This window comes from Homo sapiens, chromosome 17 (assembly GCF_000001405.40).
Source record: "Homo sapiens chromosome 17, GRCh38.p14 Primary Assembly".
Taxonomy (NCBI): domain Eukaryota; kingdom Metazoa; phylum Chordata; class Mammalia; order Primates; family Hominidae; genus Homo; species Homo sapiens.
The window spans coordinates 27,521,394-27,539,597 of NC_000017.11; the positions used below are offsets into that span (position 1 = coordinate 27,521,394).

The 18,204-nt window shown below is 47.9% G+C and overlaps 1 protein-coding gene and 1 pseudogene across 17 annotated transcripts in view, besides 2 other annotated features; one reads left to right on the top strand and one right to left on the bottom strand.

The window, feature by feature from the left end:
• Positions 1–18,204, top strand: part of KSR1 (kinase suppressor of ras 1) — a 169,988-nt gene that overhangs the window by 64,946 nt on the left and 86,838 nt on the right. The window lies entirely within an intron of this gene.
• MSANTD3P1 (MSANTD3 pseudogene 1) lies at positions 4,719–5,874 on the bottom strand (annotated as a pseudogene).
• Positions 11,498–11,683: a silencer, noted in NCBI's record as "fragment chr17:25859917-25860102 (GRCh37/hg19 assembly coordinates)". NCBI's record gives its function as "represses an EF-1alpha promoter that drives an FKBP-Casp9 reporter gene in an ReSE screen in phorbol 12-myristate 13-acetate-treated (for megakaryocytic differentiation) K562 erythroleukemia cells {active_cell/tissue: K562(+PMA)}" and the evidence as "EXISTENCE:reporter gene assay evidence [ECO:0000049][PMID:32094911]".
• Positions 16,791–17,632: an enhancer, noted in NCBI's record as "H3K4me1 hESC enhancer chr17:25865210-25866051 (GRCh37/hg19 assembly coordinates)". NCBI's record gives its function as "activates a minimal SCP1, AML or CMV promoter by ChIP-STARR-seq in naive H9 embryonic stem cells {active_cell/tissue: H9 hESC(naive)}" and the evidence as "EXISTENCE:reporter gene assay evidence [ECO:0000049][PMID:30033119]".

Sequence of the window (18,204 nt, forward strand, 5' to 3'; positions counted from 1 at the left end):
AGCTCACTGGAGCCCCGACTTCCTGGGCTCAGGCAAGCCTCTTGCCTCAGCCTCTTGAGTAGCTAGGATCACAGGGTCTAGCTCCATTGCCCACGTTGGAGTGCAGTAGCTCACTGGAGCCCTGACTTCCCGGGCTCAGGCAAGCCTCTTGCCTCAGCCTCTTGAGTAGCTAGGATCACAGACATGAGCCACCACGCCTGGCTAGTTTTTGAATTTTTTTGTAGAGATAGGGTCTCACTGTGTTGCCCAGGCTGGTCTCAAACTCCCTAGGCTCAAGTGATCCACCTGCCTTAGGCTCTCAAAGCGTGGGGATTGCAGGTGTGAGCCACCACGCCTGGCCTGCAAAGGCTACTCTGATGGAGGCAGGTGGGTTAGAACCAGGTCTCCTGACGTCTGAGCTCCCAAAGCACCACCTGTTGCCCTGTTAATCCACACTCTCATGGCTATGGGAAAGGCAGGCAGTTGGAATTATGATGTTGATGATAAAAATGTCTGCTTATCACCCATGCTGCTAGGGAGACCAGGCTTAGTTAGGTTTACTTTCTCTGTTCTTTCCTTTCTCTTGCACATATTTACCATTGCATCTTTTCACATGACATCACAAGTATTTATTTTCTAGGCCATGAGTTCTCAGAGGTCAAGTTCTGGATAATGGCTGGGTTTTTGTTACAGCCATTCTTATACACTGGTACCTGGCCAGAGCAAGCTTTCAATAAATGTTGTGGAGTGGAAAGGTGGATACCAGACCCCAGCCTTGAGCCCGGTGGAGTGTCTCTCTGAGCCCCTGGGTTAAGTGGGTCAAGGCAACTACCCTTTGCACTTGGGGCAAGTTGACATGAAAAATCCATAGACAGGCAGAGTCAGGAAAAACAGGACTGAGAAGGGGCTATGAACTTGATCCTAGGAATACTGGCTTACTTGAAACTAAACAACCACGCAATCCTCCACACAGCTTTGGCCCCCGCTCCCCGTGGCCCTCCCGCCCAGCTCGCCTTTGCAGTGAGCAGATCCAGTATACATGTCACAGCTGGAATCTGGCTTGTGTTTGGAAATAAACAACTTGGCCCCTCTCTCTGCCTGGGATTTTCCTTTATCAGGAGATGCTCATGAGCCACCACCAGAGATGAGGTGTTTCTTTCCAGCAGAGATGAGATGTTCTTTTCAGCAGCCTGCCTGAGAGCTCCAGGGAAAAGTGGGAGGGCTTTGTGGTGGGACAAACACCTTCACATTGTCCTTTTCTGGTTGGTATTGGAGAGGGCTTGAGTGAGTAGGCTGGATATGAAATAATTTGAGGGGTGGTGAATGCAAAGGACTAATCCACCAACCCCCCAGCAAGTTTGCAATGAGGGAAAGTCTCTGTCTTGCAAGAGGAGACACCATAGATAGAAAGCAATGGGTGCACCACTCTGAATGCTGGCTGCCCAGCTAGGTTGCTTTTTGCAGGGTGGTCTGTCCTCAGGCAGCAGCCAGACAACATTTTGGGGAGAGTAGCTCAGGGGATTCCTGTGTTTCTGCTGTAGCTAGTTCAGGGTACTAAGAAAGAAAAAAAGGATCCTGCTACCATCATGTTAGGTAGAAATTGGCAGTTTAGAAATACAGCATGGGGAGGGGCCTCCTCTCTCACACAGGGCCCTGGGGAGTGTAAATTGGTACAACTACTCTCAAGAGAACTTGACTAGATGTGGTGAAGTTAGGGATACACATACCCTATAGCCAAAAATTTTACTTCTATTGTCTGTACTGGAAAAACTAGCATGCAAGTGCTCAAGGAGAAATAGATGTACATTGTAACATTTTTGGTGATGATGAAAAACTAGAAGGAAACTAAAAGCCTATTAGCCAGGAAATATATCAATAAATGACGGTTTACACAGTGTAGTACTTTTCACCAGTTCCATCTGACTTACATGAATCAGCCCGACTACATTTAAGAAAAACGTTGGTAGAAAGGTTGCAGAATATCTGTAGTAATGATACCATTTCTGTAAGGTTAAAAAAAAAAAAAAAGGAAAGATACCATTTTTGTGTGTTTGAATTATTTAGAAAATGAGAGACATGTTGCTGCCATCAAGTTGCTCGCAGTCTAATGGGGAAAGTTGGCAAATAAACAGCTGGAGGCTTCCAGATAGTGAATGTTGATGTTATTGACCAAGTTCCTTGTCTTGCAAGACATGACCAGTTTGGAGGGGATATTAGATAAAATAGAGTTCAAATAACAGTAACTCAAGCAAGTTAATTTTTCTCACACATAAAAGAAGTCTGGATGTAGGTAACCCAATGTCGGTGTGGTGGGTCCACAAAGTCATTAGGAACTCAGGAACCTTCCAGCTCACCCTTCTGCCATTCCTTATCCTTATGTTCCTAGATGGCTGCTGGAGGTCCAGCTTTCACATCAGCTTTCCAGGGAGCAGGATGAATGAACTGGAGAAGGATGTGTCATGTATATATTCCTTTTGAAATTACCATGTGGCACTTCCATTTATGTGTCATTGGCCAGGTATTAGTCACACAGCTACACCTGCCTGCAAGGAAGGATGGAAACGGGCCAGCTAAAACCTCAGCATTCTGTTAGGAAGAAAGGAGAGTGGAAAGTGGGAGGCCACCACTAGATGATGAAAGATGAGATAGTGAGTTTGGGTACCTCTGGCCCATGCAGGCTGGCCATCCATTTGGGGGTTAGATTGGGGCTGGAGCTTATGAGTGGAGTGGGGTTCAGAGTTTTCTAAATTGGGAGGCATAAGCGTGTAGGTGATTGTGGGAGTCCTGGGAAGGAGGCTGCTGAGTTGTCAGAAAGGTAGGAGAACTGGGAAGCTAGGGGTGGGCATGTCTGGGAGGAGAGACCACTTGGCCAGATGCCCCAGTGAGGTCAAGCAGGATGAGGGTGGGAGTGAGAACATGGACTCTGGGGGCTTCTGCAAGAGCAGTTTTGGTGGAGTAGAGAGACTAAGATCAATGGAGGAGTAATATTGAACAGCTGAGGAAATGTGTCAAGATCTTTGAACTTGAAGGGAATGAGAGAGAGAAGGGGGAGCTGAAGAGAAAGTATTTATTAAGGCCAGAAAGATTTGAATGCAGGTTTGGAGGCTGAAGGACAGCTAGATCTCCCCTCCCCATCCCCTTCCCAAGGAGGGAGGTATTGATGGGAGGTGAGGATAGGCAAATCCAGCAAGTACAGGCCGGTGGCCTCCAGTATCTCTGCAAAGGGGCTTGTAGAGCATGAAACTGGTAAGATGCTGCCCCAGGAATTGGGGAAGAGCAAGGAATTAGATAGAATCAAATCAAAGAGCTGCTAAGCCAGAGGAAGTAGGTCAAAACCTAAAACTTTGGATGTCCCCAACCCACCTGCACATTGAGTTTTCTCCAGTAGCAATTATAGGAGCAGAGAAAAAGAGATTACCCAGGATTAGAAGGCTGCAGGCAGAGCGGCAGGAAAAGGCAGGGAGGGGGCTCTGGGTTCCTGGAGTGGCAGTGGTGGTGTGGAGTTCAAGCAGGGTTATATTACATTATGCTGTAAGGTGGAAAACGGTGGGGCACATTTTAGAAATATTCCCATTAGAAATGGTAAGAAAGAAAAAATCTTATGCCCATGAAGTTGTAAATGTCAGAGCATTGTCTCATCATTACTGAAAATGTGATCATTCTAGACACACAGAATTGTGCTCTCAGTCACCCGCATCAGTCCTTCTGTATATTTTGAGTTGCATTAATTTGCAGGCCACTTATTTAATATGAAACTGTGCCTGCTTGTTACTTGGTAGCAGACCTGGGAGCCAGGTGGCCTGGGTTCAGATTCCAGCTCCGCCTCTTACTTACTGTGTGAACTTGGACAGGGCTGTGTACAGTCAAGCAGGTTGTGCACTGCACAAGGGGGTGAAGGGTTCCTTAAATCCAGACTGCCCCTATTGCCAGGAATATGCCTTTTGTGGGTCTGTGCTGTGTCTGTGCAGAGGATGGGATGCACTCTTTCACCTTGCACAAAGGCACTGCATGGGTTGGTTCTGGCTCTGGCTTTGGGCAAGTTGCCTCTGTGCATCAGTTTCGTTGGAGAGAATAAATGAGTTACCGCATGTAATGTGCTTGGAACAGGGCCTGACACATGGCTAAGAACCATGGTAAGGATTAAATGCTGATTATATGTAGTACTGGAATGAGCTGAGCCTTCTGGGTCTCCTCTGAAGGCTTATCTTGAGTTTCCCAAAGCCTGGCATTTAGGAGAGGATACAGCTCTCCACCCCTTACAGTTTGGTCACTGAGTTTGCATTTTTTCCCAAAGGTTCCAAAGGTTTCCAGAGGTTCTCTCTAAACCTTAAGCTTTTCCAGGTTGCAGCTGCTTAATCTTCAGGCAGCTGACCTTGGTGTTCCTGGTGCCTTCTTCATCTGAAAGAGGATGAGGTAGTTGGGGCCAAGGACACCCCGGGTAGTCTAGCAAGATTTGCCCTTCAGACATTTGTGTAAATCTTCTCCCTAAACATCAAACTGGAGAAATACAGGTGTGCTATAGGGAGAATGAAAAGAGCCCTTTCCAATTTGGAACAGTTTGCGTGGAAGGTGGGGCCTTGCCCCTATGGCATCCAGATCTGTTCGGTAACTGCAACTAACTTTTCTTTTCTTTTCTTTTCTTTTCTTTTCTTTTCTTTTCTTTTCTTTTCTTTCTCTCTCTCTCTCTCTCTTTCTTTCTCTTTCTTTCTTTCTTTCTTTCTTTCTCTCTCTCTCTCTCTCTCTCTCATGGTTCTTGTATGAATTCTAATTAAGAGACATTACATTCAGAATTATAGCACTCATGGTGATAATTTTCAGAAGACTGTAACAGCTTCTTTGCCACTTAAGGGGTACAAAGGGTGCAGCTGTTTCCCTGAAGGAATTCTTAAGTTAGTGACTACTACCACTCAAATTTTCCTAGTTGTCGCTCTGTTACAGGTTACTGACCGCAAGTCCATGTTCCAGACATTCTTTGCCAACACAATTAATTACAAGAGAGCCACCCCCAAAGTCTTAGGGTGAATTGGGAAAGGGCCGGTTAAATGAGGAAGCAGGCCATTCCTTGGTAAAAGTTTGTAGTTTTTTTTCCCAATACATCTTCTCTTTATTGAGAACTTCATTTTTATCCTGTGTTCCTCCTCTGCCATCTCACACTCTCGCTCTGTCTGCTGGATTTTGGCCACAATGCACCTCATTCATTTGTATCAGTTGCAATTGTAAGATGGACATTTGTTGATCATGTTCAGTCCTCGTGCATCTTTTTTAAAGCACCTTCCTGAGAGATTTTGCTCATGTAGTTTTTATTGGCTGTTATTCTGACAGCTGAACACGAGGGTTCAGGTTGAGAGGTCCTCTCACGTGTTGGAAAACGTATGAACTCTTTCTCATCATCGCACAGTTCTCTATTTGAAACAGCAAATGATTCTTGGGCCGTGGCGTGGTATTTGGGCTCCTCCTCCGGGGGGAGGGGTGGAAGGAGTGCTCTGCAGGAAGTAGAGCTGCTCCAGCAGCATGCTGGTGATCTCCTTCCCTAGGACTTGGTTACTCAGGAGGGGGCTGACGCTCCCTTTCACCTTCTCTCTCCTTTCATGGGCCATAATTGTTTTAGTCCAAGCCTTGATGTTCTCCCAGCCCTTCTTCAGCTGTTTGAAATCCGGCAGGGACAGCTCGGCTGAGAGTTGCATTCGTGGGTCAGCGCCTGCAGGTACATTGATTGCTTAAGGGCAATAGTTCACACATCACTTTTCTTACATTCCAGCACATATTTGTACTTTTCTACTAAAATCAGCAGGGTACTCTTTTCTAGTTCTGAGAAGTATTTGGCAGGTTTTATAATTTCATTGTTTTGCATTTTCCACTATATTTCCCCTGGCCGCCAGCTATCCTGTAATCCCAGCTACTTGGGAAGTTGAGGTAGGAGGACTGCTTAAGCCCAAGAGGTCAAGGCTACAGTGAGCCATGTTTGCACCACTGCACTCCAGCCTGGATAACAAAAGGAGACACTGCAGTGGCACACCCGCCCCCCCCCCCCCCTTTTTTTTCTTTTTTGAGACAAAGTCTTGCTCTGTCACCTAGGCTAGAGTGCAATGGCGTGATCTTGGCTCACTGCAACCTCCGCCTCCTGGCGATTCTCCTGCCTCAGCCTCCCGAGTAGCTGGGACTACAGGCACCAGCCACCAAGCCTGGCTAATTTTTGTATTTTAGTAGAGATGGGGTTTTACCATGTTGGCCAGGCTGGCCTTGAACTCCTGACCTCAAGTGATCCACCCACCTTGGCCTCGCAAAGTGCTGGGATTACAGGCGTGAGCCATGCCCGGCCTGACTTCTTGTTTGGGGCACAAATCAGACTGTATAAGAATCATGAGAAAAACAATAATATCTTGGGCTTTCACCAAATGTTTTATCCTGGTCAGCAGTATCTTTAGAAGACACAAATTTTCATAGTTTCTTGATTTTAGGATATATTTCATAGTTTAATATTTCTGAAATTGGGAGGCTTTGTACGATGTCTTTAATGTAGTAATTCTTTGCTCTCCCCAAATGCTGTTATTACATTGATTATGTGTCTCATAAATGAACATCCCTACCTCTTGTGGGTCATCCAGGATGGAATTTGTTTTATTGGTCAGTAGAAAAGGCTATGACCTAATTAGTGTATCGAGTAGGTATTCTGTGTAAGTTAATGCATTTATTTTGTTTTTTATTATTTTTGAGATGAAGTCTCACTCTGTTGCCGAGGCTGGAGTGCAGTGGTGCCATCACGGCTCACTGCGACCTCTGCCTACTGGGGTTCAAGCAATTCTTGTTCCTTAGCCTCCTGAGTAGCTGGGATTACAGGTGCGTGCCACCATGCCTGGCTAATTTTTGTATTTTTAGTAGAGAGAGGGTGTCACCATGTTGGCCAGGCTGGTCTCAAACTCCTGACCTCAGGTGATCTGCCCACCTCAACCTCCCAAAGTGCTGGGATTACGGGTGTGAACCACTGTGCCTGGCCAAGTTAACACGTTTAGTCTTTAACACATTTGGTCTTTGGAAGAAACTGAAGCTCAGGAATGGATCAGTAATTTGTTAAAGGTCACACCGCTAGAAAAGAGTGGATCCAGTATGTGAGCCCAGCTCTGTCTAATCATGATGTTCAGTTCTTTCTCCTTCCCAGGAGAGACCTGTACTTCTTCACTTCTGGCTCCTGCTGTTTTTTTAAGCTGAGGATGTCCTCTTCTCTTCCTATTGAAACTCCATTTCTGGGCCAGGCATAGTGGCTCACGTCTGTAATCCCAGTGCTTTGGGAGGCTGAGAAAGGAGGATCTCTTGAGCCCAGGAGCTTGAGACCAGCCTGGGCAAGATGGTGAGACTCTGCCTCTACAAAAATTAAAATAAAAAAAGTTAGCTGGGTATAGTGGTGTTCACCTGTAACCCCAGCTACTCAGGAGGCTGAGGTGGGAGGATTGCTTGAGCCTGGGAGTGTGAGGTTGCAGTGAGCTACGGTCATGCCACTGCACTTCACCCTGGGTGACAAGAGAGACCCTGTCTCTACTGGAAAAAAAAACCACAAAAATCCCAAAACAAAACTTACACCACCTGTTCCCCAAAAACCTATTGGATAAAAAAACTCCATTTATTATTCTTTCAGTTTGGATAACATTTTATGATTATAAAAATGACACCCGTTCTTTAAAAATACAAAAAAGTAAATAATAAAACTTTCCAGTGTTTACATTTTGAGATGTTAATTTTGCTATAAAAATAGAAATTGACCTCAAAGTTGAAAAAAGAAAATTAATGCCTTAAATTAAAATAAAAAAGATATGTGAAGATCATACTGCAAATGTAGTTTTCTTACCTTGAGTTGTTAACTTTCTAGAAGATTATGGGCATTGCCTCATATGATTAAGTACACTGTTAAAAGGGACTTAAAAAAAAAAAGTTGCCTCATAGTGTTCTGTGATTGACACACCAGAATGTAGTTACCTACTTCCCCATGTTTGGCTATTTTAAGTTACACTTCCGTGAATAGGCTTATGCTTACACTTAATTGTTTCTTTAGGATAAATTCCTAGAAGTGGAGTCTGGCTCAAGGGGTGAGGGCCACCTGGTGAGGCTTCTGTTGCATCATCCTGTTTCTCTGCTGCCCTCCAGGGGGGCGATGCCGCTCCACGCTCCTGCCATGCTCCTGCCACAGCCACACTGGGGAGTCCCTCTGCCAATGTTGCCAAACATCTGCCCATATGTTTCCATTTTGTATTTCCTTGCTTATTATTAAGGTGGGAGGTTTGTTATGGTTGCCGGCAGAGGTAACTTTCCTTTGAGATAAACATGTATATTTCCTTGGCCTGTTTAACTGACTTGTTTGTGCAACCCCAGTCATTCTTCAAGACCCAATTCAAAGCTCATCTTTTCCATGAACTCTTTCCCGACACCCGTCTTTTCTCTGAAGCTGGAAGCTTTAATTTTCATATCTGAATTCTCACAGCCTGTGTGTATCTGAAAACCCTTGTCAAAGACACTTTTGCATTGCAACTTGATATCTTTGGCCCCCACTTGAATCTGAGGTCTTTAGGGTAGGAGATGGGTCATTCATTTCTGTGTTGTTTGCAGGGCCTTGGCACCATACTGGGTAACTAGTGGGTACTCGATACTCTTGAATGGATGGATAGATGGACACACACTGTTCTTAACAAACCAACCAACCCATCCCACACCCGTCAGCAAAATGAGTTTAATGCCACCTTATGAAATTGCTCTCTTCCTTTCCGCATCTTTGCCTTTGGAATCAGTGAGGTTTTGCTCCATCTAAAGACCCAGCAGGGGCTGGGCGCAGTCCCAGCACTTTGGGTGGCTGATGTGGGTGGATCGCTGGAGCCCAGGAGTTTGAGACCAGCCTGGGCAACATGGTGAAACCCTGTCTGTACAAAAAATACAAAAATTAGTTGGGTGTAGTTGTGTGTGGCAGTGGTCCCGGGTACTCAGGAGGCTGCGGTGGGAGGATCGTTTGAGCCTGGGAGGTCGAGGCTACACTGAGCCGTGATTACACCACCGCACTCCAGCCTAAGCAACAGAGTGAGACCCTGTCTCAAAAGAAAAAAAAAAGACCCAGCAGGGCAGATGGAGTAACCAGCAAAGCCGACCTTAGTGGTGAGGCTGGGCATGGCGGCCTGAGCAGGGATCGGCTCCAAATAGTACGTCTACCGTGGGCTCCTGGACCTTTCTCCCTTTGCTAGAAGAGAAGCACCAGCACCCTCCCTTTTCCTCTTGTGACATTTTAAAATGTATTATTCCCATTCATAGCCTTATAAAATCAGTACGCAGTAATTAGAGAACATTTGGAAAACACAGAAAAGTAGAAGGAAGAAAATAATTACCTATAGCCTTCCCACTCAGATCAGCCCATTCACAGATGACATTTCTGCTGTGTTTTCTTTCAGTTGTGTTTTCCAGGCAAAGACTTTGTGTGCGAGGTTTTGCTTACGTAGTTCTTGCCATCCATCATGTAGATTTTTTTGTCCTGCCTGTCGCTTAGTAAAATAACACAAAAAACTTCCTATGTTTTTGTAAACCTGCTCAGTGGCTCTGTCATAGTTTAGTAAGTGGTTTTACCATCACCTCCTTAGCTGTGCTTCCATTGTTGGGGCTTTGGGTTGTTTGCACTGTGTCCCTCTTGTAAACAATGTCGGGATGGACAAGTTTGTGCTGGGCGTTTCCTTGTCCCTTTGGCTGGTTACCTCAGGCAGACTGGCCCATACCAGCCCTTCCCCGCTTCATTCTCCTCCCTTGGGGCCAGTGCCCTATTCGCCTCTCGGTTTGTGTTTCTCAGTCTCCATGTGTAGCAATATGTTGAGAAACAGCTTCCTTTTTCAGGAAGAAAGCTCAAGATGTTGAACCTCGAGGAGGCTGTGCACAAAGGTGCAGAGTCCTGCCTGCTGGGTCATGGCCTTGGCACTGCAGGGCGGCCCCCTTCTGCCTCACAGGCCCAGGGTTACAGAAGGTGCAGGTGACGGGGAGGCCACGCCTTTGAAGGGGCTGCCTGGCAAACCTTTTCCCCTGACAGTAAGCTGAGGGGGTGGCCCTGGTCACATGTTGCAGGTCTCTGGAGGGGGTGTAGTGAATACCTGAGTCCATTTTCTGCCTGGTCCCACACTCGGATCCGTCATGGAAGATCTGGCCCCTGTGTTCTGTGGGCGAGTGCTTGGGGGAGAACCCCTCCTGTGGGGCTGCTGAGATGTGTGCTGTGCTGGAGGTGGCTTCAGCCCTGCTCCTCTGAGCAGCTGCTTGGGGCATGCTGTTGAGCTCCAGAGAGCACTTCAGCATATAGCCAGCAGCGCCCTGAGGAGCTGCAGTGACAAAGGCCACTGTGGCACTCAAGGCTCAGGTTTGGATGGTGGAGTAACATTGCCTAGGTTCACCTCCCACCCTGGACAGTTACTTTATCTCTCTTTCATCTCCACTTGGGGATAGTAATAACACCCACCTCCCCAGATGAAATGAGTTAGCATTTTATACACTTCTCAAAACAGTCCCTGTTTGTTAAATAAAAATAGGGAACCAGCGTTACCAGCTAGACCACTCGCTCACAGCAGGTTGAACCCAGGACTTCTGCCATCCAGTATGGGGGAAAGAGTGCTGGACAGAACCAGGAGACCGTCCTGGCACTGCCTTCTACTTTGTGTGAGTTTGACTAAGTCGTTGTCCCTCTCTGGGCCTCAGTTTCCTCATCAGTTTTTCATCTATTTCTGTGAGATGACCTTAGGCCCTTCTTGTCTTAGAACATCCAAGGATTTTGTAATTTAAAGGCATTTCAGACATCTGAAGATGGGTCTGGTCCTGCTAATAATCCTCACTGGTTGACGTGGTCCTTAGATGGGGCCAATTGCAAAGGTCAGAGGGCAGGAGATGCAGAGCCCTGTGGGGTTTGCCCGGTTTTTCTCAGTGCGGGTGAGCTATCCTCCACCTGGAGGGTTATGGTAGCTGGGTCACCTGGGAACAGGCCGTGGGAGAACTGGCCTCCTTGGGAATGTGTTGTCCTGCGCGGCAGAGCACTTTCAGGTACGGGCTGCTCTGTGAGGCCACCCTGTGCTCCAGCCCGCAGCACTTGAGACTGACTTGCCCTGAGGTTTGTGTGAGCGAAATCGGGTCTTATGCAACAGTGAGTGCGTGCATCTCCGCTTCGAGCTGTTACATCAGAAAGCTAAACACAGAGAGCCCTTGCAACTGGAGAACTAGCAGGAGGCCCTCGCTCTGGTTCTTTGTCAGCGGGTGGGACGGGGTAGGATGTGGCTTACAGGCAGCTGTGGAGGAGAGGACTGTGCTAGGAAAGAGGTTGGAGCTGGTGGACTCTCTCCCAGGCGCTGCTTTTCCAACAGGCTTTCTGGAAGGTTCTGGCCTCCTTCTGATCAGGTGGCAGAGCATCCCTGGGGCTCCTCACCAGTATTCGTGTGCTCTGGGTCAGTGATGTCTCCATCTGCATCACTGCTGGTGGAGCACAGTGGGAAAGGTCAGCCTTCAAACTGTGGAAGGTCAGACCCAGCGCCTCAAGCCTGGAGGGGCAGCGTGGGGCATCAGCCTCTTATGAGTTTAAGTTGGCTCTGACACATACCAGCTGGGTGACGTTGGGTTGGCTTCCTGACCCTCTGAGTCCTTTTTTATAAATGAGAACATTTGTACCAAGATGCCCAGCATTGGCCTGATGGACAGTAGGCACCCCAAAAGTCTCAGTCATTTAAGGAAGTAATGTAGCCCATGGTTAAGAGCATGGGCTGAGCAGCTGAACTTCCTGGGTTCAGTTTCTTGCTCTGCCACTTACTAGCCGCATGACATGGGACTGTTCCTCATCCTCAGTTTACGCCTCTGTACAATGGGGATAGTTGTGATAGGGCGTCTCTCACAGGTTTGTTGCAAGGATTAAGTGAGTTAATTCAGTTGTCCCTTGGTATCCATGGGGGAGTGGTCCCAGGAACCCCTGAGGATACCAAAATCCACAGATTCTCAAGCCCCCTTAGTACAGATGCAGATGCAACCATTCTTTTTTTTTTTTTTAAGATGGAGTATCACTCTGTCACCAGGCTGGAGTGCAGTGGCATAATCTTGGCTCACTGCAACCTCTGCCTCCCGGGTTCATGCAATTCTCCTGCCTCAGCCTCCCGAGTAGCTGGGACTACAGATGCACACCACCATGCCCAGCTAATTGTTGTATTTTTAGTAGAGACAGGGTTTCACCATGTTGGCCAGAATGGTCTCGATCTCTTGACCTTGTGGTCTGCCCGCCTCGGCCTCCCAAAGTGTTGGGATTACAGGTGTGAGCCCCCGCACCCAGCCGCAACCATTCATTTTTTTAAAAAGATTTCTGATCTGCCGTTGAATCTATGGATGCAGAACCCACAGATCCTAAGGGCTGTCTGTACGCATAAAGCACTTAAAGCAGTGTCTAGCGCATAATAGTCACCCTTGTTGGAGTTAGCTGTCATTGTCTAATTTCTTCAATAAGGGTGGTCAGTTGATTTCTTGAGAGCTTGGCAGCATACCGCCTCTCTTTATTTTGAGATGCATCCCCACCCTGTTCAGCTAGAGCTTGTCCAAGGTGACAGGTGCGTGTGCGCACGTGTGTGTGTGTCTTTTTCAGCCATGTCACCACTATCCAGGTCTGGAGAGTAGCTCCCCTTGCAGCCTGGGGGCCAGGCCTCTCCTCGGCTTGCTTCTTCAGGCTGTGTGCATCTTGTTACCCATCCTGGTTTGCCTCCCTCTTCTGCACAGACTGTGCTCAGAGGTTCGTGTTGCACAGTTTGGCTCGGGTGTGCCCAGCTCTTGACCTGAGAATAAAGTAAGGGCCAGGAAAGCCATCCTTTCAGTGTGAGTGTGTTCCAGCCACGCCTGGCCTTGTCTACGTTTGCCCATTTTCAAGGAATACACCAGGGTAGCTTGGGACATGCCATGTAGATGGAGTCATCCAGGAATGTGTTTAAGAATCTTAAAGCAATAAACAAGTCAGACTAACTGCTTTCAAAGAGTACAAGAGACTGGAATTTTCATGATAGAGATGGCTGACAATGAGTGTTAATCTATTATAGCAGGCCTGATGTCTTCAGCAATAGACATCCCCCTCTTCCCCCATTTTGCAGATAAGGAAACTGAGGCAGAGGGTGGTTAAGTAATCTGAGTTAAAGCAGCTAGTCAGTGGCCGAGCTGGGATTTGAACCCGGGTCTGTTGGCCTCTAGGCCCCAGCACCTGACTATCCATCACTATACTGCCCCTGGCTGGCATTCCTGGGATTATACAGCAGCGGCATCCTGTTGCCTGAGCCCTTTCTCATCCCCCGCTAATGATAGTGCTAGTAATGTGAGTCCAGTTACAGCTGTGTTGCCTGAGGTGCACAGGGCCTAGGGGGATAACTGCGTTGTCTTTAGCCATTGCTTGTTAGAGAAGGTGGTCTTGCCTTCTTTCTCCCTCCCAGAGCTGATGTCACCTAAACCCTGCTGCAATATTATTCCTGGGTTTCAGGTCTGATTTTTATGTCCCCTACATCCCATATCTCCTTCCTCTGACCAGACAAAATGGTCCCTCAGGAAAAGAGCTTTGAAGATTATTTAGTGGAGATGGCTGTGGCTAATCAGTGACCTTCTCAGATCGCTTAGGAAAAGCGTGTGGATGTCCTTGTCAGGGCTTTCTTCCCTGAGAGGCATCTGAGAAGTCCCTGGGGTCACAGCTGGGAGTGACCCTGGGTGGGACTCAGTGTTTCAGGGGTGCTTGGTTTTAATCTATGAATTTAAAATCATGCTTTCCTGGGTGGGAGTTGGGGTGGGCAGTGGTTGTGAAGCTGGCGCCACAACATAGGATGGTGTGTAGCCTTGGCCATGTGCCTTTACCCCTGAGCCTTGGTTTGCAGTGAGGATCAGATGAGGTGCTGTCTTGCCAGAGCGCTCCGTAAACTCTGTAGTGCTGTGACTGAGTGTGAGGTGCTGCGACCAAGTATCCATAAGATACACAATCATCACATTGGTGTGCGCCACAGAAAGAATGCACAGTCATGTCACTAGGAGTAATTCTGGTCTCATTTGAAACTCAGCATGGTGGTTTGGTGCCAGAGGTGTTCCTTGGGCCTCTGGTACAAGTGAATTGTTAAAAGGGTGTGGATGCTGATCTGCCCTAATGCATAGAGCTTCATTTCACAGCCGGTTGCTCTCCTTGTTCCACGGGAAGCTTGCAGACACATTAACAGATCAACAATCGTGATCCTTCATCTGGACGCTTTCCTTCTGCACTCTTCCCCAGTCACCCGTCCTGGTTTTCCTATCAGCTGCCAAAGGCACAGCTTTGATGTTAAGATTAAGATTGCAGCGAAGGAAGATGGGAAGGAATCTTTGCTGGGAGCTCGCAGTCAGCCAGCAGCTGTGTCATATTGTTTTGTCTTCACAGTGATCTTTTGAGGCTGATCTTTGCCCCTCATTTATGGCAGAGGAAGTGAAGGCTCAGACATTTAATTGCCCATGGGCCCTTAGCTGGTAGGAGTCAGGGCTGAGTTTCAAATGAGACCAGAATTACCCCTAGTGACATGACTGTCCATTCTTTCTGTGGCGCACAGCAATGTGAGAGGGCCCTGTGGGGTCTGGCCATGATGGCAGACACTGCCTCTCTCCCATTGCTTTCTGTCTGACCCACCTCCACGGGTGTGGGGAAGAGTTGGAGATGGTACTGTTGGAGCAGCGGCTTGTGCTGTTGGCAAGCATAGGGTTCCCCTCTGTCTGGGAGACAGGGCAGGCACAGCGCTGAAGTGAGAGACGGCTGGGCTGGGGCTGCCTGTGGGCTGAGTGCCCTTTGAGGGTGGAATCTCCAGCCGAAGGGCCCCTCCCCGAGAAGCACCAAGTCCTAGTAAATTGAACAACAAACAGGGCTCTGCTTGGGTGGCTCATTTGCTGGAGAAACTCAGTGCTTCACCTTCCTGCTAAAGTATGCCGGTATGCCAGAAATTCCCTGGACAAGCAAGAAGGGAAGTCATGTCTTTATAGTAAAAACACTAATAAAACAGCTCTAGAATCTTCTCCTTCCTTTACACCCACACTGCCACTAACTAAATTACCTTTTGTTCTCATCGTTTGCTGAATTGCAGTGCTTCTTAAATGATTTTCCTGTCTTTGGTTTATCCACACGCACTTCAGTCTGTCCTCCTTATGGTTTCCAGAATGAGGATCGTTCAGAAATGCAAATCTGATCACGTTTTTCCCTTCGCTTCCCGCCCCATGCCTGCAAGATTGAGTGCAGATGCCTGAGTGTGGCATTCCAGGACCTTCTGGAACTTTGTAGGACCTGCATGAACTGGTCCTGGTCCCTGACTGAAACAAAAAAAAAGTGGCACCGGCCATTGATCTGGAGGGTCTAAGAAGGCCCTGCTCATGCACCTGACCCTGGGTGGGGACCATTCCATCAGGGGCAGGCCCAGGGCCACTCATTATGGTCTCTTCATCACAGTAGTCAGGACTCTAGGAGACTCTATACTCTGTTGGACAAAGTAGCCACAGACCAACCCAGGTTCAAGGGGAGAGGAAATAGACCTCTAGATTGGAGGAGTGTCATATACTTTGTGGCCGTCTTCAATCTGCTGTGGTTGTCTACACTCGTATGGTAGACTCAGATGATCCTGTGACTACCCAATGGGGAAGAAGAACCCTCACCACCCACTGCCAGGAGCGGGGGCTCCCCCACCTATTCTTTTTCTCTAGCAAATGCAAGATCCTACATAGCCTGCTTTACCCCCACCCTTACCTTGTGCACTCTGGGAAACTGAGTCATCATGTATCTTCCTAAGTGCAGTGGTGCAGCTGGGGGTTGTATTCCCAAACACTCAGCATCAACTGAATCAGGGTAGAACAAGGATTCCATATCTCCAGCTCGTGGCAAATGTTTGTCTGTATTCCAGGTCTTATATAATAGACTCGAAGGTACTCTAAGGTACTGCATGTGGTTTACAGTATGCTAGGGTCCTTTTTCAAGGATATGTAACTCTCTCAGCCTCAGTTTCCTCAGCTGTAAAATGAGATTAATAATAGTACCTGGCTGGACGCAGTGGCTCACACCTGTAATCCCAGCACTTTGGGAGGCCGAGGCGGCAGATCGCCTGAGGTCAGGAGTTTGAGACCAGCCTGGCCAACATGGTGAAACCCCATCTCTACTAAAAATATAAAATTTAGCTGAGCGTGGTGGCGGGCACCTGTAATCGCAGCTACTTGGGAGGCTGAGGTGGGAGATCGCTTGAACCCGGGAGGCGGAGGTTGCAATGAGCCGAGATCAGGCCACTGCACCCCAGCCTGGGCAACAAGAACGAAACTCCATCTCAAATAAATAAACAAACAATAAAATAAAAATACCTATCGGGATTCATGTAGGTATTAGGTGAGATAATATAGAATGTATAGCATGATGCCTAGTACCTAGGAATGCCCAGTTAAAAAGAATATATCCAGTTGTGGTTAAAACAGTCCTGGAATACAAAAAATAACTCAACGTGCATCAAAAACCTAAATAAAAAAGATACAACAATAAAACTTCTAGAACCCAGGAGAATATGTTTGTGAATATGGGCTTGACAAATATCTCCTAGATAGGAAATAAAAAGCACAAACAAACAGACAAAAAGATTGTTAAGTTGGACTTCATAAAAATTAGCTGCTCTTCGAGATTTAAGGACTTTTGGAAGAATGCTTTTGGATGGCATGTGGCTCAAAGAAGAATGAGGGATACCTTCTTTTTGCTGTTGTAGGTTTTCTGGAAGCCAGCAGGAAGCCTCAGCCTTAGAAACATTAGCGGTAGAAGGAGGTTTGGAATACTGCGGACTTAATAGAACTACTTTTGGTTGCAAGTAACAGAAAATGTGACTGGAATAGGCCATTATGTTTCTCCTACAATGAGTCTGGAGTTAGGTGGCACACGTGTGCTGGTTTTGCAGCTGAACAGGGATACTGTCTCTGGTTTTCCAGGCAGCTCTTGCCATCCTTGTGGTTGCGAGATGGCCACTGCAGCTTGTCTGTTTTCAAAATGGGCAGGAGGTGTTGGGCAGCCCCAAGATCTGTCCCATGCTTTCCCAGCAGGTCCCCTAGCAAGCAAGTCCTCATGCCTCATTAGCCAAAACTGTCACAGGTAACCAGCTTCAAGGGAAGCTGAAAGTGGGGACTGAATCATCATGATGGCTGTGCAGGGACCCCATTCCGGATCAATTATGTCACACTCGCTGAAGCCAAGGCTCGTGGGTTGTGATGTGAAGACTGGGCTGCGAGCCACTGACTGAGACCAGTTCATCACTGGGCACAGTGCTACCCTGAACAAAACTGGGTCCTGTGGGCAAGGGAGAAGCTGGGAGCTGATATTAGGTGGAGATGAGCAGTCTGAGCATGGTGCTCCACAGGGTGTGGCGGTTCGGGCGCCCCTCATCCTTCTGGGGGAGTTCACAATGCATTCATTGATCCCTGGTGTCTGGGGCACTCATCTGTCATTGCCCCTTGCCCCTGTCCAGCCCTTTGTCCTTTTCTGTGATGGCCTGAGTTGCTAAGCCAACAGTCACATCCCTGGAAAGAAAGCCCTCTATCTTTCCAGCATTGGGCACAGTCTCCTTCTCATAGTTGGTGCATATAGGTCAGAGTTTAAGGTGCCTTGCCTTCCCCATCCCTCCCTTCCAGAGTCTCCCTAGGGAACAGGCCTTAAGGATAGGTAAGGGGTTTGGCCCATTGGCAGAAATCTACTTTTGCCATTAGGTGCAGCCTCTGCCTTTTTCACTAGGCCCCTGCTTGGTAATTCACACCCAGGTGCCTTTCAGTTGGCAATGTCAGGAATACTCCAGGATTACCTGTTGTGATTGAGGGGTTGAGCTGAGGGGGTAAACTAGTTCGTGGCTGTGCCCTGTGGGCCTGGTGACCTTCAGACAAACACATGGAGTGTGTGTTTGAACTGGGACACAGGCCGTGTTGATGAAGTATCTGGTCTGTGAGCAACACCACACCTGTGGCTCCTGACACCTGGGCCAGCACTTCCCTCAGCCTCCCAGCAGAAGCACCGAGCAGCAGGGCTGCTGTGTCATGGACGCTTAGACCTGCTGTCTGTTGCTTTGCCTTTCCTAGCCCTCGGTCAGGTGTCTGTGCGGACACATCTGTTCCCCCAACTTGTGTGGGTTCCTGAAAATTATGGACCCCTGCCGCTTACGACCGTTGTCCTTGGAGTCCAACGGTGCCGGGCATTGGGAAGAGGTTTGG